This window comes from Homo sapiens, chromosome 17, assembly GCF_000001405.40.
Source record: "Homo sapiens chromosome 17, GRCh38.p14 Primary Assembly".
NCBI lineage: Eukaryota > Metazoa > Chordata > Mammalia > Primates > Hominidae > Homo > Homo sapiens.
In genome coordinates, this window is record NC_000017.11 from 3,711,931 (window position 1) to 3,736,721 (window position 24,791).

The 24,791-nt window shown below is 48.8% G+C and overlaps 3 protein-coding genes across 13 annotated transcripts in view, besides 3 other annotated features; 1 reads left to right on the forward strand and 2 right to left on the reverse strand.

Annotated features, from left to right (window-relative positions):
* P2RX5 (purinergic receptor P2X 5) overlaps positions 1-11,905 on the reverse strand; it is a 50,609-nt gene extending 38,704 nt beyond the window's left edge. For 2 of the 4 annotated variants that reach the window (NM_001425085.1, NM_001425083.1), the window contains exons 1-4: positions 11,758-11,905; positions 8,377-8,472; positions 4,758-4,868; positions 2,807-3,012 (exon numbers count right to left, since the gene is read on the reverse strand). The gene's annotated coding sequence lies outside the window, so the exon portion shown is untranslated. Of the gene's footprint in view, positions 1-216; positions 284-2,806; positions 3,013-4,757; positions 4,869-8,376; positions 8,473-11,757 lie in introns of all 4 variants that reach the window. The other 2 variants (NM_001425084.1, NM_001425082.1) reach the window with 2 other exon arrangements.
* The window catches only part of ITGAE (integrin subunit alpha E), an 86,561-nt gene continuing 64,467 nt past the window's right edge, over positions 2,698-24,791 (reverse strand). Inside the window, exons 21-31 of one of the 8 annotated variants that reach the window (NM_002208.5) lie at positions 22,887-23,019; positions 20,438-20,536; positions 19,174-19,253; positions 17,548-17,625; positions 16,175-16,238; positions 15,989-16,096; positions 11,758-11,814; positions 11,358-11,453; positions 8,377-8,472; positions 4,758-4,868; positions 2,698-3,012 (exon numbers count right to left, since the gene is read on the reverse strand). In NM_002208.5, the coding sequence (NP_002199.3) occupies positions 2,917-3,012; positions 4,758-4,868; positions 8,377-8,472; positions 11,358-11,453; positions 11,758-11,814; positions 15,989-16,096; positions 16,175-16,238; positions 17,548-17,625; positions 19,174-19,253; positions 20,438-20,536; positions 22,887-23,019 (1,018 nt within the window). In that variant the 3' untranslated portion in view covers positions 2,698-2,916. Of the gene's footprint in view, positions 3,013-4,757; positions 4,869-8,376; positions 8,473-10,123; positions 10,235-11,357; positions 11,454-11,757; positions 11,906-15,988; positions 16,097-16,174; positions 16,239-17,547; positions 17,626-19,173; positions 19,254-20,437; positions 20,537-22,886; positions 23,020-24,791 lie in introns of those variants that run through there. The other 7 variants (NM_001425071.1, NM_001425072.1, NR_189130.1 and 4 more) reach the window with 7 other exon arrangements.
* Positions 11,874-12,033: a silencer, noted in NCBI's record as "silent region_8019". NCBI's record gives its function as "represses an Ori minimal core promoter by ATAC-STARR-seq in GM12878 lymphoblastoid cells {active_cell/tissue: GM12878}" and the evidence as "EXISTENCE:reporter gene assay evidence [ECO:0000049][PMID:35858748]".
* Positions 11,874-12,658: a biological region, named in NCBI's record as "H3K27ac hESC enhancer GRCh37_chr17:3627127-3627882".
* Positions 11,903-12,658: an enhancer, noted in NCBI's record as "H3K27ac hESC enhancer chr17:3627127-3627882 (GRCh37/hg19 assembly coordinates)". NCBI's record gives its function as "activates a minimal SCP1, AML or CMV promoter by ChIP-STARR-seq in naive and primed H9 embryonic stem cells {active_cell/tissue: H9 hESC(naive and primed)}" and the evidence as "EXISTENCE:reporter gene assay evidence [ECO:0000049][PMID:30033119]".
* On the forward strand, positions 11,973-14,769 carry HASPIN (histone H3 associated protein kinase). The gene has a single exon (NM_031965.2). It carries the CDS (start codon positions 12,006-12,008, stop codon positions 14,400-14,402), a length of 2,397 nt encoding a protein of 798 aa, NP_114171.2. The 5' UTR covers positions 11,973-12,005; the 3' UTR covers positions 14,403-14,769.

The window sequence follows — 24,791 nt, forward strand, 5'->3', positions numbered from 1 at the left end:
GTTCCTGATGTAGTTCCCCCGATTACAGCTGCCTTGCTCTAACGCCAATTGGATCAGCACGACTCAGTAAGTCAATAACAAACAGGCTTCCCAGTGACGATGGAAGTGGGGTCTTATTTGCAATTTTAAAAAGTATAAAAAGCAGGGGCTTTTATATAATATGAAAACTTGGACACAACTCCTGAGCACAACAGGAAAATAAGTAAGCAAACTTACCTGTGTGTTTTCCCTCAAAGGCAAATTCCACTGAAACAACCCAAGAGTTACAAGGAAGGGGAAAAGCCTGTGGCAGCATTGGAAAACAGAGAACAATATCATCAAGTGACCGATAGCACAGACGGATTTCTGAACGAAATGAAGATGATGGAATCAGATCAACAGGGAAGCAGATGGTGCCCAACAGCCTAGTGATGTAACACTGGCAAGGTACGGGGCTCCATGAGAGGTGAATGGGCTGCTCCAACCAAGCCCTAGAAACTACCCAAAGGCAGAGCAGCCGGGGCTGGGATAACAGGCAGGTGTGAGGCAGGCAGAGGAGGGCCAGAAAAGCCCTCCCATTACAACCAGGTACACGGTTTACTTCTCAGAGCTCTCCACGTCCTAGTCAAAGAAGTAAGGGTAGCCAAAAGTAGAAATATCAGAAAGACTCCAAATTGCCATTATTTGCAAATAAAATTGTCTCCTTAGAAAAATCCCAAAGAATCAACTAAAGAGTGATTTAAAAACAGTTTGGCCGGGCCCGGATTTGGCTCATGCCTGTAATCCCAGCACTTTGTGAGCCTGAGGCGGGTGGATCACCTGAGGTCAGGAGTTCGAGACCAGCCTAACATGGTGAAACCCCATCTCTACTAAAAGTGCAAAAATTAGCTGGGCATGGTGGTGGGTCCCTGTAGTCCCAGCTACTCGGGAGGGTGAGGCAGGAGAATTGCTGGAACCCGGGAGGCGGAGGTTGCAGTGAGCAGAGATCACACCACTGCACTCCAGCGTGGGCGACAGAGTGAGACTCCGTCTCCAAAAAAACAAAACCACAGTTCAGTAAAATGGCCAGATAAGATAAACATTCAAAACCACCAACTGTTCTAAGTGCAAACTCTAAACAGTCGGGGGAAAAAACGGTATTTTCACACAGTAGCAACAAAAGCATAATAACAGGTCAGGCGCAGTGGCTCACGCCCCAACACTTTCAGAGGCTAAGGCAGGAGGATCACTTGAAGCCAGGAGTTTGAAATCAGCTTGGTCAACATAGCTAGATCCCATCTCTACAAAAGAAAAATTAAAAAATGAGCCGGGCATAGTGGCTTGCACCTGTAGTCCCAGCTACGCAGGAGGCTGAGGCAGAGGACGGCTTGAACCCAAAAGTTCAAGGCTGCAGCAACCTATGACTGCATCACTGCCCTCCAGCCTGGGCAACACAGTGAGACCCCCCCAAAATAAATAAACAAATAAAAATGCAGCTGGAAGTAAGTCTTTATAAATTAAGACCCCTTTGAAGAAAATTATAAAACCTTGCTGCAGAGTGTTTTTAAAAATCTCAGCATTGCCAGGCGCGGTGGCTCATGCCTGTAATCCCAGCACTTTGGGAGGCTGAGGCAGGTGGATCACCTGAAGTCAGGAGTTTGAGACCAGCCTGACCAACATGGAGAAACCCCATCTCTACTAAAAATACAAAATTAGCTGGGCGTGGTGGCGCATGCCTGTAATCCCAGTTACTCAGGAGGCTGAGGCAGGAGAATCGCTTGAACCCGGGAGGCGGAGGTTGCGGTGAGCCAAGATCACACCATTGCACACCAGTCTGGGCAGTAAGAGCAAAACTCTGTCTCAAAAAAAAAAAATAAAGTAAAATAAAAATTAAAAAATAAATCGCAGCAAGCGGAGTAGAAAGGAAATCTATAAAGATATCAATGCTCCCAAACTTAACCTGTATGTTTAAATTAAAACCCCAAAGAGTTTCTTCTGGAAATCTGAAAAATTGATACTTAAGAATTATCTGAAAGGATACAATCGATAATTTTTTTTTGAGACAGTCTTGCTCTTTTGCCCAGGCTGGAGTGCAATGGCGTGATCTTGGCTCACTGCAAGCTCTGCCTCCCAGGTTCACGCCATTCTCCTGCCTCAGCCTCCCGAGTAGCTGGGACTACAGGCACCTGCCACCGCACCCGGCTAATTTTTTTTATTTTTAGTAGAGACGGGGTTTCACCGTGTTAGCCAGGATGGTCTCCATCTCCTGACCTCGTGATCCACCTGCCTCAGCCTCTCAGAGTGCTGGGATTACAGGCGTGAGCCACCGCACCCCGCCTATTTTGTTTTTTTCTTTTTGAGATGGAGTCTCACTCTGTTGCTAGGCTGGAGTGCAGTGGCACGATCTCGGCTCACTGCAACCTCCGCCTCCCAGGTTCAAATGATTCTCCTGCCTCAGCCTCCTGAGTAGCTGGGACTACAGGCACCCGCCACCATGCCCAGCTAATTTTTGTATTTTTAGTAGAGATGGGGTTTCACCATGTTGGCTAGGATAGTCTCGATCTCTTGACCTCGTGATCTGCCTGCCTCAGCCTCCCAAAGTGCTGGGATTACAGGCGTGAGCCATCATGCCCGGCCACAATCTATCATTTTTTAAAAATAAGAATGAAAACTTGCCCTATCAGGCAAAATGTACTGCAAATCCTAAGTAATACTGTATTTCCAGATTAAAGGCACTACTGCAAAGAAAAGTGTAAATTTATTTAATACCAAATGTTTCCTAAGTTTACTTTTTGCACAATGCACAGACACTTTTGGGACAATGTATGGTTAAAAACTAATATTCTACCAACAGCTCCATGCTGCTCTAGATCATCCTGAAGGAAAAAGTAATGCAAAGGATGCTGGGTCTCCAAGTCCCAGGACTGGCTGATAGCCTCTCCCAGTGGATAGCAGGTCCTAATTCTCTTCTTCGAGCAGATTCTCTGATTTCAGCTGGGCCTTCCTGATGCTCTCCAAGTTCAGTTGTTGATATTTTCTTTTAAAAAAGCCACACTGAAACAAAGGAAGGAAAAGTCCAGTTACAGGCCAAAGATAGCCATCTGTTTCAGAAAACCGGCATTCTGGCTGTTGCCTAAATAGCCCCTATATTCCTCTGCTTCTCATACTTACTACTCCCTTCTCCTAACTTACTCTGAATCTCTCCTGGAGAGTCCAATCCTTCAAGACCTCTGGTGCTCATCCCTCAATCAGAACTGACTCCACCTTCCTCTGAACCCTGCTCTCCCGAGCAGCTGAACCTTTTTAACTTATTTTGCAAAGCATGATAATTTCGGCTGTACTGGATCTAATCTTATTTATGCAAAAATACTCAGTATAGCCTATGATGCTGAAGACAGAAGGAGATCAAGTACAGCTTCCTACATCAAGCTCATCATCTAGTAGGAAAAAGAGATAATTACAACACAGTGTGATGACTGCCATTTGGAAGGGTTTCTAGAAGGGAGCTCACAGCAAACACACAGAAGCCAGCACAGAGGACTCAGGAGTCTCTAGACCGCTTTCAGGGAAGACAGTGAGTGAAGTGAGCAGTCATGGAGGGCATTCCTGACAAGAAAAGCAGCCTACGCGTACGCAGAGGCACGAACCTATTTAGGGAATAGTTTGACTTGTTGGGAGAAAAAAGCAAGGTCAGGTGCTTATGCCTGTAACCCCACCACTTCGGGAGGCCAAGATGAGAAGATGGCTCGAGCCCCGGAGTTTGAGACCAGCCTGGGCAATATAGGGAGACCTCATCTCCACAAAATTAAAATTAAAAAATTAGCTGGGTGTGGTGGCATGCACCTGAGTAACAGTCCCAGTTACTCAGGAGACTAAGATGGGAGGATCACCTGAGCCTAGGAGTACGAGGCTGCAGTGAGCCCTTAACTGTGCCACTGAGCTCCAGCTTGGGGGACAAAGACCCTGGTGTTTATTTTTAAAAAAGAGGCTGGGAGTGGTGGTTCATGACTGTAATCCCAGAACTTTGGGAGGCCGAGGCGGGAGGATCACAAGGTCAGGAGTTTGAGACCAGCCTGGCCAATATGGTGAAACCCCGTCTCTACTAAAAATACAAAACAATTAGCCAGGCATGGTGGCACATTCCTGTAATCCCAGCTACTCAGGAGGCTGAGGCAGGAGAATCTCTTGAACCCGGGGTCAGGGTGGGGGGAAGGGAAGGTTGCAGTGAGCCGAGATCGCACCACCGCACTCAAGCCTGGGCGAAAGAGCGGAACTCCGTCTCAAAAAAAAAAAAGAAAAAAAAGCAACACTTAAGGGCAGAGACGGGTAGCGGACAGAGAGGAGAGGATCTTAAATAGCAGTAGAAGAGTTTGCACATTAAGACAGGGGAAGGCAAGGAAAAGATTTCAACAGGGGAACAACAGTCACATCTGTTTTAAGGCCTTACCGTTAAGGCCTCTTCCAAGTAAGTTATAAATGCTGGCCTAGGGTTGACCTTCCAGGCCCTATTGAACTCACAGGTAACCGAACATAACAGTATTAAGTTCTGGGCCTTGAGAATAGGGAGGTACCAAAGAAATATATATAAAATCACTCTTTATAACTCAGAGTTTTCTCTTTTCAGACAGATACTGTTTTACTCATTTGTCTAAATGGGGGTGTGCAGTTGAAGGAGGAGAAAAAAGTGGCCACGAGGCCAGGGCAGCTGCTCTAAGTCAGAGGTTGGCTGTCCTAAGGAGTTCTGTGCCCAAAACTAGAGCCCAGTCTTCCCTCACTGTGATGCCATGAGTAGAACTGACCTTGAACAGGATGACCAGAATCACGATCAACACCAGAAGTCCACCAACGCTGCCTTTAATGATGATAGGCAAAGAATGGTACTTCTCATCTTTCAGGAAGACGACAGTGATCTAGACAAGACAAAGAGATCGCCCAATAAATCAGGTGAAGCAAACAAGGAAAAAATCCTACATGTTATTTTAAGGAGCAAAATACGAGGACTTGGCAACAACCCGTGTATTGATCAAAGCTGATGACAGTAAAGCAAAAAGCTAGATATTCCCTGATGCAGCATTTTAGATCATCTAAAACTATCCAATCACCCAAATACTTCGTAAGAAACTATTCTGGCCCCTTATCTAGAAGGGCTAGGTCTGTCAGGAGATTATGACCTTCTGTTAAAGATGCTCTGACAGCTTGAAAGAGGGTCCCACGGAATCCGGTCTCAACACAGGACTGTGAGGCTGTCACGCCGCTACACTGCTCTATGTCCCTGAGCCCCGTGCCTATGCTCTTTAAAATGATGACTTCCTTTAAATGATCTCCAAGTCCTTTCCAACTCCGTTCTGACGGCTCTTTTTGATCTTGCACAGATCCCTAAAGGCTTTGGTAATACACTTTCCCCACATAAAATATGACAAAAGTACTGGTCTTCCCCTCACCAGACTAAAAAGTGTGTATTACCTAAGGGACATAATAAATGCAAATTATATCCATGTGTACTACTTGCAGAGCTCAGCTATTAGAAGTCATCCGCAGGTTTTGTTTTCCAAAGGCTCTCCCAATTTCGGGAGTCTAATCTCTCTTCTGGCAGGGCTCAGCTAGAAAGTTCAGGAGATGTCCTTCCTGAGACCCAGGTATGGCCCTTCCAAGTTGTGGCCAGAGGAAGTTCCCAGGACTTAGGTGGGGCCAGAGAGCCAACAAGACTTCTCTGCCTGCCCAGAGCAACCCTTCACGTGTATGTTTAAGCACCAAGGTCAGGGGTGCTTTGGAGAGGTTTCTGTACGGGGTGAAGGGCTGGACAAACTTACCTTTAAGGCCTCTTCCAATTAAGTTATAAATGCTGGTTGACCTAAAGTTGACCTTCCAGTCCTATTTAGCTCATAGGTAGCTGAACTAAATAGGAGTGAAGTCCTAGGCTTTGAGAATAGGGAGGTACCATAGCAACAAAGAGGGAGGAAGAACAGAAAGAGGGCTGGAATATTCTACAGGAGAAGGAGGGGGACTCAAGACCCTGGGTTTGGGAAGTGAAAGGAAGTCCCAAGGTGACTCGGGAAACAGGCCAGATGTGAGTAGAAGAAATGTCCCTATTTCTCAAAGCCACCTCCCTTTATCTTCTTCTAAACCCACAGATTCCCAAAAGTGCCCCAAAGATGCCCAAGTAGAGGTTAAGGGAGAAGCAAGGCACCGGGTACTACTGTTTGCAGCAAACACGGATGCTGGCCTGCCCAGGGGCCCCTCTCTCCTTTTGGATTTTATTCAGGAATCATCGTTGGTCTCAGGTGATCATGACACAGCTATTCTCCTTTGCCAGTGACTGACATGAGATTCAGATCTCACTAATAAGATGTAAGAGGATGTCTCCTGGGAGCTTTTGGAAACTGTTTCATCCCTGAAAAGGGAAGGCACATGAAGAAAAATCCAACATCCTTTTGCTACTGACTTCTTGCTTCCTGTTTTGTATCCTGCCATGTGAAAATACAGCATTTGGAGATGTGGCAACTTTGTGCTGGCCATGAAGGAATGCGTCCCCCACACGGCAGAGTACAAGGACCAAAGAAGCCAGGCCATCGCCCCAGGCCGGCCTCCCTCACTGGATAAACAGCATATGCCCTTATGCTGCATGAGCTGGATTTTCCCTTTCTTGTGGCTGAAATGCATTTGGATACAGTTTGTTTATACTCATAGAGTCACTGTAAGTCAGGGGCTTATTGTCAGGAACTACTTAACACTTTGCTTAGGATATTGGATTTAAAGAAAGGAATTTTGGGGAATCCATGCTATAGAAATAAAAGTATCAGTAAGTAAGAGGGGGAAACATACAAATTTAAAATGTGCACATAAGAAACTTAATAGTAACTCCTCCCTGCTGGGGGCATGGGAAGGGAGAAATGAAGGAACAATTATTTTTCATTTGGTACCATTCTCTGTATGGCTTGGATTTTCTTGCTATTATTTTTATTTGTTAAAATCTGGGCAGTGCAATAATGGGGCACTTCTATTTCTTCCGTTTTCTGTATTTTCCATTTCCCTCTATTTTCTGTATTAGAAATACACTACTTAGCCGGACATGGTGGCTCATGCCTGTAATCCCAGCACTTTGGGAGGTCAAGGCGGGCAGATCACCTGAGGTCAGAAGTTCGAGACCAGCCTGGCCAACATGGTGAAATCCTGTCTCTATTTAAAAAAAATAAATAAATTAGCCAGGCATGGTGGTGGGCACCTGTAATCCCAGCTACTCGGGAGGCTGAGGAAGAAGAATCACTTGAACTGGGGAGGTGGAGGTTGCAGTGAGCCGAGATGGCACCAACGGACTCCAGCCTGGGCGACACAGTGAGATTCTTCCTCAAAAAAAAAAAAAAAAAAAAAGAAAAGAAAAGAAAAAGAAATACACTACTTAAAAATAAAAGGAAATGTTATATTGGCATGTCTAGAGAATTGCTCCTTTCTCCTCCTCCAGGGAGGAAAACAGAGGACCTTATATTTAGCAATCCAGCATCACTCTCCTGACATTCCCTCTAGTAGAGAATCATGCCTAACTAAAGAGCTCAGAGCTCACAGATAGATCACCTCTGAAGCCATGTCCAGGCAAGGGTCAACAAGAATGAAAACACAGGGTAACACACAAAGCATTCAGTCCACAAATCACAGGCATCAGTCTGACTTCTAGTCATACTTTTGCAAAAAGAATTCCAAGAGTTCCAGTATCTAGTCTAAATCTTATAAAAGATTTATGCATTCCTGAGTACTGTTTAATACTATAACTAAACACTGATACAGCACACTAAGACAGTTACTGGATACAAAAAACAATTTCTCACTTAGGTAATTCATTTTTTATTTATTTATTTATTTTTTGAGACTGAGTCTCACTCTATCACTGAGGCTGGAGTGGAGTGGTGTGATCTCGGCTCACTGCAACCTCTGCCTCCCAGATTCAAGCGATTCTCGTGCCTCAGCCTCCCAAGTAGGTGGGATTACAGGCACCCACCATCATGTCCGGCTAATTTTTGTATTTTTGGTAGACAGGGTTTCTCCATGTTGGCCAGGCTTGTGTTGAACTTCTGACCTCAGGTGATCCACCTGTCTCGGCCTCCCAAAGTGCTAGGATTACAGGCGTGAGCCACCTGCGCCCAGCTGCGAAATTTTTTTTTTTAATCAATCCATTTTCAAATCAAAGTATATACTGCAGATTCCAGCCTAGTTATTTCAACTCAGAACTCCTCAGCTTAGGCCTCTTAATTGCCTTATTTCATAAGAAGCTGACTCACTCAAAGGTCACAAAGGCAGCGATGGCAGAGCCAAGATCAGAAGTGTTAAGGCTGAAAACAGGAAGAGGGCAACAGAATGTCTGTGGAGGTGCTCAAAGGTTAGGCACAATTTTCCTTGGGCACTACTCAGAAGCCAGCCAGGAATTACCTTAGTTCTGTGGTTCTCTGCATTCAGTCCCTCATATAGAGATTTGTTGAAAGATATTTCACCAAGGATCTGCAGTTCAGTTACATCTTTTAGTAACTAGAAGATGGGGAAAGGAATGAGGGAAACAAAACATATTTTAGACATGAACTCACTGTGTTTGAACAGCCTTCACCACCTTTCCCTTTAAAGGTATTCCTGGGCTTAGTTAATGGCCCTAACGTACACAACACTACATAAAGTTACCCAAACAAGACATCTGCAGTTATTCTTCAACTTCCTTTTTTTTTTTTTTTGAGATGGAGTTTCGCTCTTTCGCCCAGGCTGGAGTGAAGTGGTGCGATCTCGGCTCACTGCAACCTCCACCCCGTCAGGTTCAAGCGATTCTCCTGCCTTAGCCTCCCGAGTAGCTGGAATTATGGGCATGTGCCACCATGCCAGGCTAATTTTTGTATTTTTAGTAGAGATGGGGTTTTGCCATGTTGGCCAGGCTTGTCTCGAACTCCTGACCTCAGATGATCTACCCACCTCGGCCTCCCAAAGTGCTGGGATTACAGGCGTGAGCTGCCGCGCCTGGCCTTTTCTTCAACTTCTTTTCCCTTGTGCCATCCAAAGTCAGTTCTTGACTGACTGACTTATTTTTGAGACAGGATCTCGCTCTGTCACCCATGCTGGAGTGCAATGGCATGATCATGGGTCACTATAGCCTCAACCTTCCAGGCTCAAGTGATCCTCCCACCTCAGTCTCCTGAGTAGCTGAGACCACAGGTGCACCCCACCACACTGGGCTAATTTTTGTATTTTTTGTAGAGATGGGGTTTTACCATGTTGCCCAGGCTGGTCTCAAACTCCTGGGCTCAAGCAATCCACCCACCTTAGCCTCCCACAGTGCTGAGATTACAGGCATGAGCCACCACACCCAGCTTATTCATTTTATTTAACGTAAGAGATTTTTCCTTTTTTTTTTTTTTTTTTTTTTTTTTTTTGAGACAAGGTCTCACTCTGTTACTCGGGCCGGAATGGAGTGGCTCAATCATAGCTCACTGAAGCTTCAAATTCCTGGGCTCAAACGATACTCCTGCCTCAGCCTCCCAAGTAGCTGGGACTACAGGCATGAGCCACCATGCGTGGCTAATTTATGTATTTATTTATTTTTAAGAAATGGGGTTTCACTATGCTGCCCAGGCTGATCTTGAACTCCTGGCCTCAAGCAATCCTCCCGCCTCAGCCTCCCAAAGTGTTGGGATGACAGATGTGAGCCACCACACTCACAATTCTTTTTTTTTAAATTATTTCTTGTATCTGTCCCTTTCTTTTCCACCCCCATTGCTACTTCTTCAGTTGAGACCTCACAAATGTCACCTGGATCACTGTAAAACATTAAACTTGATCACTTGATCACTAGTTCCCACTTTAGAATAAGTGATCAGGGAAGGCCTCTCTAAGAAAATAACACGTGTGGCCGGGTGTGGTGGCTCATGCCTGTAATCCCAGCACTTCGGGAGGCTGAGGTGGGTAGATCATCTGAGGTCAGGAGTTCAAGACCAGCCTGACCAACACGATGAAACCCCATCTCTACTAAAAATACAAAATTAGCCGGGCGTGGTGGCTCACGCCTGTAATCCCAGCACTTTGGGAGGCCAAGGAGGGCGGATCACCTGAGGTCAGGAGTTCAAGACCAGCCTCACCAACATGGAGAAACCCCATCTCTACTAAAAATACAAAATTAGCCGGGTATGGTGGCGCATACCTGTAATCCCAGCTACTTGGGAGGCTGAGGCAGGAGAATCGCTTGAACCCGGGAGGCGGAGGTTGCAGTGAGCCGAGATCGTGCCATTGCACAACAAGAGCGAAACTCCGTCTTGAAAGAAAGAAAAGAAAAGAAAAGAACACCTAGGTCGGGTGCGGTGGCTCACGCCTGTAATCCCAGCACTTTGGGAGGCTGAGGCGGGCGATCACCTGAGGTCAGGAGTTCGAGACCAGCCTGGCCAACATGGTGAAACCCCCTCTCTACTAAAAATACAAAAATTAGCTGGGCGTGGTCGCCGGCGCCTGTAATCCCAGCTACTCGGGAGGCTGAGGCAGGAGAATCACTTGAACCCGGGAGGCGGAGGTTGCAGTGAGTAGAGATCGTGCCACTGCACTCCAGCCCGGGTGACAGAGCAAGACTCCATCTAAAAAAAAAAAAAAAAAAAAGAAAAGAACACCTGAGCTAAATTTAAGAAGAAACCACCTACGTCAGGACCTAGAGGAAGAGCAGTGTCAAGCAAAGGAACAGCAAGTACAAAGTCTTGTGGCCAGAATAATGCTGTACTGGCGAGCTAGAAGAATAGGACAGAATAACCCGATTATAAAAGGGGCAGTGGGAGAGAAAGGCGAGTACTAGGAGATGAAGTTGAAGAATTAAGCAGAGACCAGATCAAGTACTGCCTTGCTCTGGCCATGAAAAAAGTATGGATTTTAGTCTAAGTGTGCTCAAGCATCAGTTTTGTTTGTTTGTTATTTTTAATAAGCAGGGGAATGGCACAATCTAATGTCTGCTCTTAGAAGACGGATAGCTGTTACGTGGGAATTATTTGTAAAGAATGTGGGAAAAGCAGAGGCAAGAAAGGCAGGCCGAAGGTTATTGCAACAGCCCTGGCAAGAAAGGGTAGCTTGAATTACAACGGCAGTGGAAATGGAGAGAAGTGAATGGGTTTAGGATATATTTTGGCCCTGAAATGGCAGGGCTTGCTGCTGGAATAGACGTGGGGATGTAGGAAAGAGGAGTCACAGGTAATCCCTCGAGTTCCTTGTACTGTAACTGGAGTATATCTCCCTCCTGAGGGTAGCTAAGGAACGGGTTGGGACAGAGGGTTGGTTTTTTGCACCAAAAGATCTATTTTGGACATGGACATGTTATGCAAAGATGCTATTATCTCTTCTAGGGGCGATGCCCGTGAGCAACTGGATAATCAAATCTGGAGCATTTCAGTCTCAAACACCTCCTCAGAGTGATCCCAGGAGATCTCTGCAGCCACGGTGACATTTTCTTTATCTGAAGCGATGACACAGCTCACTGAATGCCATTCTTCCACATGCTGGAAAAGCGAGGTCTAGTGAACACAATTCCTTTCCGTGCGGAAAGTCTGAAATCTTTTTAACACTTCGGACACAGAGCATCGTAAGGTCCCAGAATAGAGGGTGTGAGCAATTTCAGCGCTCACCTCGGCCCAAGCGAAGCTCCAGCGGGAGCAATTGAGACCCAGGGACGAAGCTAGGGAGGGCCTGGCAGCCCCCGGCACTGGCCGGCAGGGGTAACCCAGGAAAAACAGTCTCCTGGCCTCTCGTTACCCGCTTCAGGCCCTCCGCCCTCCCCTGGCCTCTCGGGACGGCCGCGCTTACCTGAACCGAACTGTACGCACAAGCGCGCTCCTGACTCCAGGTGCACACCGTGGAGGCCTGAAACGAGAGCCATGACCGCGACGCGCTGAACAAACCAAGCCGCCAGTTTTCCGTCCCGTCCCGGCCCCGGCCCTGGCGAGGTGCGCATGCGCAGGGCCGGGAGCTAGGACCCCGCGGCAGGCGGGCGCGTCCGCGTCGCACGGAAGTCTCGCGATGTTTGCGTTTGAACCTCTTGGCGGGTGCCGGCCATGGCGGCTTCGCTCCCGGGACCTGGGAGCCGGCTTTTCCGCACATATGGGGCTGCGGACGGCAGGAGACAGCGGCGGCCGGGCCGGGAAGCCGCGCAGTGGTTCCCGCCGCAGGACCGGAGGCGTTTCTTCAACAGCAGCGGCAGCAGCGACGCCAGCATCGGCGACCCCTCGCAGTCCGACGATCCTGACGATCCCGACGACCCCGACTTCCCCGGCAGCCCGGTGAGGCGGCGGCGGAGGCGTCCCGGCGGCCGAGTGCCCAAGGACCGGCCCAGCCTGACCGTGACCCCAAAGCGCTGGAAGCTGCGAGCTCGCCCAAGCCTAACCGTGACCCCAAGACGCCTGGGGCTGCGAGCTCGGCCCCCGCAGAAGTGCAGCACACCCTGCGGCCCGCTCCGACTTCCGCCCTTCCCCAGCCGCGACTCCGGCCGCCTCAGCCCGGACCTCAGCGTGTGCGGCCAGCCCAGGGACGGCGACGAGCTGGGCATCAGTGCCTCCCTGTTCAGCTCTCTGGCCTCGCCCTGCCCCGGGTCCCCAACGCCAAGGGACAGTGTCATCTCGATCGGCACCTCCGCCTGTCTGGTTGCAGCCTCAGCCGTCCCGAGCGGCCTCCACCTCCCAGAAGTCTCCCTGGACCGAGCATCTCTCCCCTGCTCCCAGGAGGAAGCGACAGGAGGAGCCAAGGACACCAGGATGGTCCACCAAACCCGCGCCAGCCTCAGGTCAGTTCTCTTTGGCCTTATGAACTCAGGAACCCCTGAGGATTCTGAGTTTCGGGCAGATGGGAAGAATATGAGAGAGTCCTGCTGTAAAAGGAAACTGGTGGTGGGAAATGGACCAGAGGGTCCAGGTCTGTCAAGCACAGGCAAGAGGAGGGCCACAGGCCAGGACTCTTGTCAAGAGAGAGGGCTTCAAGAGGCCGTCCGGAGAGAGCATCAGGAGGCCAGTGTTCCCAAGGGCCGCATTGTGCCAAGGGGAATAGACAGGCTGGAGAGAACTAGATCAAGCCGGAAGAGCAAACATCAGGAGGCAACGGAAACCTCTCTCCTCCATTCCCACCGCTTTAAAAAGGGCCAAAAGCTGGGAAAAGATTCGTTCCCCACCCAGGACCTGACTCCTTTACAGAATGTCTGCTTTTGGACCAAAACCAGGGCTTCCTTCAGTTTCCACAAGAAGAAAATTGTGACTGATGTGTCAGAGGTCTGCAGCATCTATACCACTGCCACTTCTCTCTCTGGATCCCTCCTATCAGAATGTTCAAACCGGCCTGTCATGAACAGAACAAGTGGTGCTCCGTCCTCTTGGCACTCCTCCTCTATGTATTTGCTAAGCCCCTTAAACACTCTAAGTATTTCAAACAAAAAGGCATCTGATGCTGAAAAGGTTTATGGGGAATGCAGTCAGAAGGGTCCTGTCCCCTTTAGCCATTGCCTTCCCACAGAAAAACTGCAACGCTGTGAGAAGATTGGGGAAGGGGTGTTTGGCGAAGTGTTTCAAACAATTGCTGATCACACACCCGTAGCCATAAAAATCATTGCTATTGAAGGACCAGATTTAGTCAATGGATCCCATCAGAAAACCTTTGAGGAAATCCTGCCAGAGATCATCATCTCCAAAGAGTTGAGCCTCTTATCCGGTGAAGTGTGCAACCGCACAGAAGGCTTTATCGGGCTGAACTCAGTGCACTGTGTCCAGGGATCTTACCCTCCCTTGCTCCTCAAAGCCTGGGATCACTATAATTCAACCAAAGGCTCTGCAAATGACCGGCCTGATTTTTTTAAAGACGACCAGCTCTTCATTGTGCTGGAATTTGAGTTTGGAGGGATTGACTTAGAGCAAATGCGAACCAAGTTGTCTTCCTTGGCTACTGCAAAGAGCATTCTACACCAGCTCACAGCCTCCCTCGCAGTGGCAGAGGCATCACTGCGCTTTGAGCACCGAGACTTACACTGGGGGAACGTGCTCTTAAAGAAAACCAGCCTCAAAAAACTCCACTACACCCTCAATGGGAAGAGCAGCACTATCCCCAGCTGTGGGTTGCAAGTGAGCATCATTGACTACACCCTGTCGCGCTTGGAACGGGATGGGATTGTGGTTTTCTGTGACGTTTCCATGGATGAGGACCTGTTTACCGGTGACGGTGACTACCAGTTTGACATCTACAGGCTCATGAAGAAGGAGAATAACAACCGCTGGGGTGAATATCACCCTTATAGTAATGTGCTCTGGTTACATTACCTGACAGACAAGATGCTGAAACAAATGACCTTCAAGACTAAATGTAACACTCCTGCCATGAAGCAAATTAAGAGAAAAATCCAGGAGTTCCACAGGACAATGCTGAACTTCAGCTCTGCCACTGACTTGCTCTGCCAGCACAGTCTGTTTAAGTAAGCTAAATGTATCTTACTGCCCCGAAATGAGAGGAGACTGGTCTTGAAGCCTCTGGTGCTGTTTCAACCTCCATCCCCACAGGAGGGTGGAACTCCCATTCTCACAGGTTTCCAGTCAGCTTTTCAAACAAGAATTTTGTTTCCAAATGGAAACTGAAATATTTGTTGAAATGTTTAAATTTGCTGATAACAAATGTTCTGAAAGAAGTAAACTAGCCGGGCACAGTGGCGTGCGCCTGTAGTCCCAGCTACTCGGGAGGCTGAGGCAGGAGGATCGCTTGAGCCCAAGAGTTCATATCTAGCCTGGTCAACATAGCAAGACCCCTGTCTCTATTTTTTTAAATAAATAAACTACATGTGAAAACAAACGTTTATATTTATAAACCCTCTTTTTTTTTTTTTTAATTTTATTGAGACAGAGTCTTGCTCTGTCACCCAGGCTAGAGTGCAGTGGTGCGATCTCAGCTCACTGCAACCTCCGCCTCCCGGGTTCAAGCAATTCTCCTACCTCAGCCTCCCGAGTAGCTGGGATTGCAGGCATACACCACCATGCCCGGCTAATTGTTTGTATTTTTTTAGTAGAGATGGGGGTTTCACCATGTTGGCCAGGCTGGTCTCGAACTCCTCACCTTGTGATCCACCCACCTCGGCATCCCAAAGTGCTGGGTGATTACAGGAGTGAGCCATGGCACCTGACCTATAAGCCCTCTTTCTAATTGTCAGCAGAGTCCTTTCTGTAAATTCCTTTCCGTTTTTTGAGCCTTAACACTTATGTAGTCTGAGCAAAAAAAAAATGCCCAGGCTTCAGCTTCATACTGAGCAGAGCCTGTTGCTTCAGGTATCAAGGCTAGCTTTGGGAACCAGACTACAGATGAGACAACTGAAAGCAAAGAGGCTGAGGCAAAGCAGAGACCAAAAAAGAGTCTCAGGGGAGAAGAAGGGAAGCTAGTAAGCAACTTATAGGGGGCAGTGTAAGAAATGTCACATGTTACATCGCTCACACAGAGAAGCAGAATTTATCAATTTTCAAAGGGAAAATGTCTCTGTCTACTGACAAGGTTTTAATTTTTGCTTTTTTTTTTTTTTGAGATGGAGTCTCACTCTGTCTCCCAGGCTGGAGTGCAGTGGCAGGATCTCGGCTCACTGCAAGCTCCGCCTCCCGGGCTCACACCATTCTCCTGCCTCAGCCTCCCAAGTAGCTGGGACTACAGGCGCCCGCCACCACGCCCGGAGAATTTTTTGTATTTTTAGTAGAGACGGGGTTTCACCGTGTTAGCCAGGATGGTCTCGATCTGCTGACCTTGTGATCCACCCGCCTCGGCCTCCCAAAGTGCTGGGATTACAGGTGTGAGCCACCGCACCTGGCCAATTTTTGCTTATTTTTCCTCAAAGGGAGGAAAACTGACAGGTTGCTTTAAGAGCTGAGTGATTGAGAGTCCTTCTGAACAGGACTTCGGGAATTTACTCCTAATCTTTTCCCATGGTTAACTTGTCTTCACTCTGTTTCTAGAACTCTGGTTTTTATACTTGAGACTCTGTAGTCACTGTGGAAAGAGGTGTGACTGATAAAGAACTGCCTTTAAATACCTGAGTCCTCGTCAGCTTCTTCACTGCTACAACCTGGAGACCTCGTAATTTGGTTGGGACGCAAATTTGCAACTGGTATTCTGCTCCAAAGAGGTTCTCCCCATGTACCTGCAAATTAAAATCAGAGTAGGAAATCAAAGCTGGTATTGCTTTGCCATCTACAGCTTTACAATAATAAGTACTTACATGGAAGAGGAATTCTTTGTGGTGAGAAAGCCCCTGGCCTGTGTTCACGTACATTATGGATGGTCTGCAATTGACAGGACATGCGTCAGCCCTTGAGGAGTCTTTCTCCCTTTTTTGGAGACAGGGTCTCACTCTGTTGCCCAGGCTAGAGCACAGTGGAACAATCATGGCTCAGTGTAGCCTCAACCTCCCAGGCTCAAGTGATCCTCCACCTCAGCCTGGGAAAGTGTTGGGATGACAGGCATGAGCCACTACACTCATCCCTTTTTTTTTTTTTTTTTTTTTTTGAGGTGGAGTCTTGCTCTGTTGCCCAGGCTGGAGTGCAGTGGTGCGATCTCAGCTCACTGCAACCTCTGCCTCCTGGGTTTAAGTGATTCTCCTGCCTAAGCCCCCAAGTAGCTGAGATTACAGGCGCCTGCCACCACACCTGGCTAATTTTCATATTTTCAGTAGAGACGGGGTTTCGCCATGTTAGCCAGGCTGGTCTTGAACTCCTGACCTCAGGTGATCCACCCACCTCAGCCTCCCAAAGTGCTGGGATGACAGGCGTGAGCCACCGCACCTGGCCTTCTCTTTTTGAATGAACTCGACTGCTTTCAACTGAATACATTAGGACAGAGGGCACCAGACCTTTACCAGGAATGAGGCCGGGTGCAGTGGTTCATGCCTATCATCCCAGCACTTTGGGAGGCCGAGGCAGGCGGATCACCTGAGGCCAGGAGTTCAAGACCAGCCTGGCCAACATGGTGAAATCCCCGTCTCTATTAAAAATTTTTTAAAAATTAGCTGGGCCTGGTGGTGTCCACCTGTAGTCTCAACTACTCGGGAGGCTGAGGCAGGAGAATCGCTTGAACCTGGGCGGCAGAGGTTGCAGTGAGCCGAGATGGCACCACTGCACTCCAGCCTGGGCGACAGAGTGAGACTTCGTCTCAGTTTAAAAAAAAAAAAAAAAGGAATAAAAGCTGAATGTCAAAATATAAAGTGGTCGTAGCGCAGTTGGGGTGAGGTGGAATATTTGAATTCTGTATCGTTGGGCTGGTTCATTTTCTAATTATCCCTCAAATGGCCTTACTCATCCCCTCCTTACTTCCCAGTCCCACAGCTGCCTTCTTCCCTCCACAGCGTCATATTAATTCCCTTTTGTAGCACGACTAGTTGGCAATACACCTCCTTTGATGACCACAGTGGGGTTTCTGTGACCCAAATGTTAGCACCCTAGAGATCAATATCAGAGCCTGGGTTCTAAGCAGGCTCCTCTCAGAAGGACAGTGTCCACATTCATCCTGACCACCAGCTCCATCTACGAGAGAGAGCCCAAAGCTGCCCCCTGGGCGATGGAGTCACACCGCTGCTGGCCTCTTGGGAGTACTCACTTGGACAGAACTGCAACGAAGCCATGCCTGAATTGAAGGGTGTGGGTCTCGTTGGCCAAAGACCGTCTTTCATTGGAACTAGGAATAAGAGTGTTAGTTCATAGCACACCTGCTTTGTACATAGCAAGTGCTTCTTAAAAAGGGCTTCGCTCTGTTGCCCAGGCAGGAGTGCAGTGTTGCCGTCTCAGCTCACTGCAACCTCCGCCCCCCGGGTTCAAGCAATTCTCATGCCTCAGCCTCCTGAGTAGCTGGAATTACAGGCGTGAGCCACCATACCCAGTTAATTTTTGTATTTTTAGTAGAGATGGGGTTTCACCATGTTGGCCAGGCTGGTCTCGAACTCCTGACCTCAAGTGATCTGCCTGCCTTGGCCTCCCAAAGTGCTGGGATTACAGGCGTGAGCCACTGCGCCTGGCTATTTTTTTAAGTTCCAGGGTACATGTGCAGATGTGCAGGTTTGTTACATAGGTGAACGTGTGCCATGGTGCTTTGCTGCAGCTGTCAACCCAGCACCTAGTTACTAAGCCCAACACGCATTAGCTATTCTTCCTGAAGCTCTCCCCAACCCTGCCCCTCCCACAGGCCCCAGTGTGTGCTGTTCCCCTCCCTGTGTCCATGTGCTCTCACTGCAGAACAGGTGCTTCTGCACCTGGCTCCCCAGGGTCACTGGGAGTCAGATAAGAAAAGGCTCTCAGAGGCTGGGCGCGGTGGCTCATGCCTGTAATCCCAGTGCTTTGGGAGGCCAAGGCTGGTGGATCACGAGGTCAGGAGTTCAAGACCAGCTTGGCCAAGATGGTGAAACCCCATCTCTACTAAAACTACAAAAATTAGCTGGGCGTGGTGGCGGGCGCCTGTAATCCCAGCTACTCGGGAGGCTGAGGCAGAGAACTGCTTGAACCTGGAGGCAGAGGTTGCAGTGAGCCGAGATCACGCCACAGCACTCCAGCCTGGGCGACAGAGCGAGACTCTGTCTCAAAAAATAAATAAATAAATAAAAGGCTTTCAGAGATAAGCAATTGGAGTTCAGAATTGTCTCTAGAAGACCACACTTAGAAGAATACTGATTTTAAAAGGGCTTCTCAGCCTCCACACTATTGACGTTTTGGGCCAGTTAGTTCTTGGTTGTGGGGGCTGTCCTGTACTGCTCTGCGTGATGTTTGGCAGTATTCCTGGCCTCTACCCACCAGATGTCCTACTGAACACCCCCCTCCCCAAGTCATGGCAATCAAAACAGGCACAGCCTCTGGTGGGCAGAATCACCTCCCTTTGAGAACTCTTCCCAGCAGCGTTCCCCACCTTACCCCCCAACACAGAGGTCTTGCAGGTAACATAGCTATCCCAAGCTATTCCAAAGCTGAGTGAACGAGAACCAGAACTCCAGGGCTCATTCCACCAGGCTGTACCACAGTTTTACTTTGTGTGTGAACAAAAGAACATTTTCATTATCTCTGGTAACAAGAAGAGAAAGTCGAGTCCCTGCAGGGAAACAGATGCCTTCTGTGGGCTCACTGGGGTTTCCTTTCTCCCTGGGCTGTAAGGGGGCCGTTCCTCTCACAGCGTGCATGTGGCAGGGAGATGTCTTCCGGGGTCATAGCCTGACTCTGCTGTGACCCAGGCAGTACTTACTTGGTGACAGTCACAGTGATGTCTGCTGTCCTGTTTGGAAAGGCATTCTCCTCTAGCTGCCAAACGACTGAAACATGAGCCTATTTTAAAGGGGGAAAAATGGTCAGTTGATTCTCTCTATGCCACTCACAATTCAGACCGCTAGCTACTCGTGGAACAGACCTAGGAGACGATTCCTCAGATTTTCACATTCCTCACATTTTTCTAACACAGCATGTTTCCTTTCCCTTCCTTTTTTTTTTTTTTTTTTTTTTTTGAGAGGGAGTCTCGCTCTGTCACCCAGGATGGAGTGCAATGGTGTGATCTCAGCTCACTGCAACCTCTGCCTCCCAGGTTCAAGCAATTCTCCTGCCTCAGCCTCCCAAGTAGCTGGGATTACAGGCACGCACCACCACGCCCAGCTAATTTTTGTATTCTTAGTAGAGACGGGGTTTCACCATGTTGGCCAGGCTGGTCTCGAACTCCTGACCTCAAATGATCCACCCACCTCGGTCTCCCAAAGTGCTGGGATTACAGGCATGAGCCACCGCGCCTGGCCCCGTTATTTCAGTTAAGCCTCAAATACAAATATGGAGTAAGCAAGGCAGGCGGCCTCATTCCCCTTTTACAGGTGAAGAAGCCACTTCAGAGATTTCCCACAGCACAGAGATGACAAGGGACAGATCAGGGTTAATAACTTTTCGTCTTGGCCGGGCATGGTGGCTCATGCCTGTCATCCCAGCACTTTGGGAGGTCGAGGCAGGTGGATCACTTGAGGACAGGAGTTTGAGACCAGCCTGGCCAACATGGTGAAACCCCATCTCTACCAAAAATATTTTAAAAATTAGCCGGGTGTAGTGCTGCACGCCTGTAATCCCAGCTACTCAGGAGGCTGAGGAAGGAGAATCACTTGAACCCGGGAGGCGGAGGTTGCAGTGAGCTGAGACTGTGCCACTGCACTCCAGCCTGGGTGACAGAATGAAACTCCATCTCAAAAACAAACAAACAAAAAAACTTTTTGTCTGACACGCCCTCCATACTACCCACAACTTCACTCTGCTTCACGGAGGTGAGCAGGCAGTTCACCTAGGGCTGTGTACTGGAAAGCTCTCGTCCCCATCACCCCCTACTTTCAGAGCCAGCTTAGCCACTGTAAGCACTGCTGGGGACACACTGCAGTCAAGCGAAGCGCAAAGCTGGAACCGAGAGATTGAGATGAGACCAAGATGCAGAAGACGCCAACTGCAGGGTGGTGAGAAGAGCGAATCAGTCCAAACCGACTCACAGATGACCTCTTGAGGACGGGGTGACCAATCCTGCAGTTCATGATCAGGACAGAAGCAACCGGCTGAGGGTCATCACACTGAATGTTTGGAGAGGGAGGCTGTTAAAAGAGCAGATGACATTCTCTTAAAGAGCCAAACAAAACAAAACAAAAACGTGGTTTCCTCACAGCAATTCAGCAAACATTCACTAATTTTTCTGCCTGTCAGACACCCTGCCAGGAGCTAAAGAAATAAAGTCCACTTGGTCCCTGTCTTCCTCACAAGCCGGACAGGCAGGGTCAGCAGTAGATCCCCGAGGAATTTAAATACAAGGTCGAAGGGGTGCTTCTGTGAGGGAGCTGCAGAGAACAGCAGTGGAGAAATATGAATTCCAACTCGGAGGAATTCGTAAGGTCTTCCTGGGGAAGGAGGCATTTGAGCTGGGCCATGGACTGATGCAAATATAACCCACAGCCTGGCTGGAAGGCCGGCACACACCAGCACTGCCACGTAGCCACCAGGGCTCCCCACCTGGACCCCCGAGGGGCAGGTGATGACTGCAGTGAGTTTTCTTAATTCTCCCAGGGACGGTCCATCCCTAGTTCCCCTCTAGATGCCTAGGAGATTGTTTTTTGCTTTTGTTTTCATTTTTTTGAGATGGAGTTTCACTCTTTCGCCCAAGCTGCAGTGAAGTGGCGCGATCTCGGCTCACTGCAACCTCCACCTCCCGGGTTCAAGCAATTCTCCTGCCTCAGTCTCCCAAGTAGCTGGGATTATAGGTGCCCACCACCACGCCCGGCTAATTTTTTGTATTTTTAATAGAAACAGGGTTTCACCATGTTAGCCAGGCTGGTCTCGAACTCCTGACCTCAAGTGATCCACCCACTTCAGCCTCCCAAAGTGATGGGATTACAGCCGTGAGCCACGGTGCCCGGCCTAGGAGATTGCTTCATTCATATAATGGATACTGTCCTAGCCCAAATAGCCTAAGATGACCGGGGACAAATCTACAGTCCAACAAATTCAAATTTATTGACTCACTGCAATGAGGAAAACTACACTTTGGTTTTGTTTGTTTGTTTGTTTGTTTTTGAGACAGAGTCCTGCTCTGTTGCCCAGGCTGGAGTGCAGTGGCGCAATCTCAGCTCACTCCAATCTCCACCTCCGGGTTCAAGTGATTCTCGTGCCTCAGCCTCCCGAGTAGCTGGGATTACAGGTGTACATCACCACACCTGGCTAATTTTTGTATTTTTAGTAGAGACGGGGTTTTGCCATGTTGGCCAGGCTGGTCTCGAACTCCTGACCTCAGGTGATCCGCCCGCCTCGGCCTCCCAAAGTGCTGGGATTACAGGCATGGGCCACTGCACCCATCCAAAAACTACACTATTGTGTGTATCACTGAACAATGGAAAAGGCGGTTATTAAAGGACTCCAGGGAAGGGTGGAGTTCAGATGAAATGTAAATAAAGTCCTGTTTTGATGGTAAAGCAGGGCTGAGTGTCAAGGAGTCAGTCACCAGCAGGCCAGCCTGTGAATCAGACCCAGGGCCCGCTTCCTGGGAAACCATTAATATGGAGTAGAAAGTTGACAGACACTGTATCTGAAGCTCTCTACCTCAGGTGGAAACAGACTCTTCTCTTGGTCAAAATGACTTACACTCTCCAGGCAAGAGGGATAGGGGTTCATAATTACCGACGTAACTACTTCAAACAGCAAAGTTTTCTTTCTTGTTTTTTCTTTTGAGACAGACTCTTGCTCTGTGGCCCAGGCTGGAGTGCAGTGGCGCAATCTCGGCTCACTGCAAGCTCCGCCTCCCGGGTTCACGCCATTCTCCTGCCTCAGCCTCCCGAGTAGCTGGGACTACAGGCACCCGCCATCGCGCCCAGCTAATTTTTTTTTGTATTTTTAGTAGAGACGGGGTTTCACCGTGTTAGCCAGGATGGTCTCGATCTCCTGACCTCGTGATCCGCCCGTCTCGGCCTCCCAAAGTGCTGGGATTACAGGTGTGAGCCACCGTTCCCGGCCCAAAGTTTTCTGATCTGTGATTTTAGAGAATAAAATTTCTCAGTGCAGTGATACTTGTCAGCCACAGGGTGTCCTCGGGAAACAGACTGTTTCCTAGTATCTGTGTCTGTATCCAGCCTTGGGAATGGCAGGGCAGATTTTCACTTTCCCAGTCTAAGCTAATTTTTACTTTCTCAGTGTCTTAGGGCATTAGACTCACTTCTCTCTCAGAACCCTGGTGAAGAAAGGGCCGCACATAGGGAGGGTGGCACTGCAGCAGAATATGGTGCCTCGGGAGGCATGGAGCCGGACTGGCGGGGATTTATCTAGTTATTAACCATCTGTTGGTTGGACCAGGAGGAGGCTGGAGGCAGGGGTGCCAGTGAGGGGGCCACCACAGAAAAGCAGGCATGCAGCGAGGGAGGGGCGTGAGGGACCTGTTTCCACAGCCACCGTCACAGTCACCTTTTGCATCCTCTTCAACTGCAGGTTTCTGGGGTAATTCAAGGCCATGCTTGTCATGTAGGAATCTTCCCCGGAGTTAGTTAGGTTAATGTTCAGGGTCAGCTCCTTTGTGAGACCCACCACCAACTCCTGCCTGCACAGGGTACAGATAAAAATGTTACAGTTTATTTCATCTGTAAAAACCTCAACGCAATACAATAGGACATTCACCGAGGCTAGAGCGTGGTGCTGTGGTGCAATGATCACGGCTCACCGCAGCCTCCACTTCCTGGGTTCAAGTGATCCTCCCACCTCAGCCTCCCGAGTAGCTGGGACTACAGGTGTTTACCACCATGCCCAGCTAATATTTTTCTTATTTTTATTTTTTTGAGACGGAGTTTCGTTCTTGTTGCCCAGGCTGGAGTGCAATGGCACGATCTCGGCTCACTGCAACCTCCACCTCCCAGGTTCAAGCAATTCTCCCGTCTCAGCCTCCTGAGTAGCTGGGATTACAGGCACGCGCCACCATGCCTGGCTAATTTTGTATTTTTATTAGGGACGGGGTTTCTCCACGTTGGTCAGGCTGGTCTCGAACTCCTGACCTCAGGTGATCCGCCTGCCTCGGCCTCCCAAAGTGCTGGGATTACAGGCGTGAGCCACCCAGCCTGGCCAATGTGCAGCTAATTTTTGTATTTTTTGTAGAGACAGGGTCTCGCCATGTGGAGGCGGGTCTTGAACTCCTGGGCTCAAGTGATCCACCTGCCTTGGCCTCCCACAGTGCTGGGATTACAGGTGTAAGCCACCGCACACAGCCCAGAATAGCACCTTCTTAAGTAACTTCTTAGATAAGTTGCCTAAGGAATACGTTTAGCTTAGACATTCTTCCTCTCAACATAAGCAAACAGCTGGACTGCCACGCCCATCTCAGTTGTTGCATGAGATGACGATAATAGCTGCCCTTTATTTAGTGCTTACCATGTGCCAAGGACTGCGTCTCACACGCTCAACCCTCATAGTAACCCTGTGAAATAGTACAGCTACTCTCCATTTTATAGAAGAGGAAACAGAAGCCAAGACAGGCTAATTACCTGTCATCCCAACACTTTGGGAGGCCGAGGCGGGTAGATCACCTGAGGTCAGGAGTTCAAGACCAGCCTGGCCAAGATGGTGAAACCCCGTCTCTACTAAAAATACAAAAAGTAGCCGGGTGTGGTGGCAGGTGCCTGTAATCCCAGCTACTCGGGAGGCTGAGACAGAGAATTGCTTGAACCCGGTAGGGGGAGTTTGCAGAGGGCTGAGATCACGCCACTATACTCCAGCCTGGGTGACAGCATGAGACTCCATCTCAAAAAAAGAAAAAAAAAATTAGCCAGGTGTGGTGCAGGCACTTGTAATCCCAGCTATTCAGGAGGCTGAGGCAGGAGAATTGCTTGAGCCCGGGAGGCAGAGGTTGCAGTGAGCCATGAGCACACTATTGCACTCCAGCCTGGGCAACAAGAGTGAAACTCTGTCTCAAAATAAATAAATAAATAAATAAAAGGCTAATTAAATGCCTGGAGTCTAGTAGTCCAAAGAATTGAGAGAATTGTACCCAAATCCTCTTTCTACCACCAATTCACTGTGACCCTAGGTGAGGTACTCTATGACACAAATTCATCCATGCCACAATATTTATGGGGCACTGCTGTGCACTGGAGAACAGTGTGCATAAGACATACTGTCCTACCCCGTTTCTTGGCCTCAGCTTCCTACCCACAAAATCATTCAGACCCTTCCCATTAAAAGGCTGTGGTTTAAGACATGGGTCCACATGTCCTGGAAAAGAGGGTCCTGGGGATGTGTGAAAGGGTCCTCCAGAATGCTGAGGTATCACAGGGACCCAGAGTGCAGAACCACTCTCAGTAGCTGAGATTGACAGAAAAACAT

Coding starts and splice junctions, on each gene's coding strand:
- HASPIN (NM_031965.2), top strand. CDS start 12,006: ATGGCGGCTTCGCTCCCGGGACCTGGGAGCCGGCTTTTCCGCACATAT.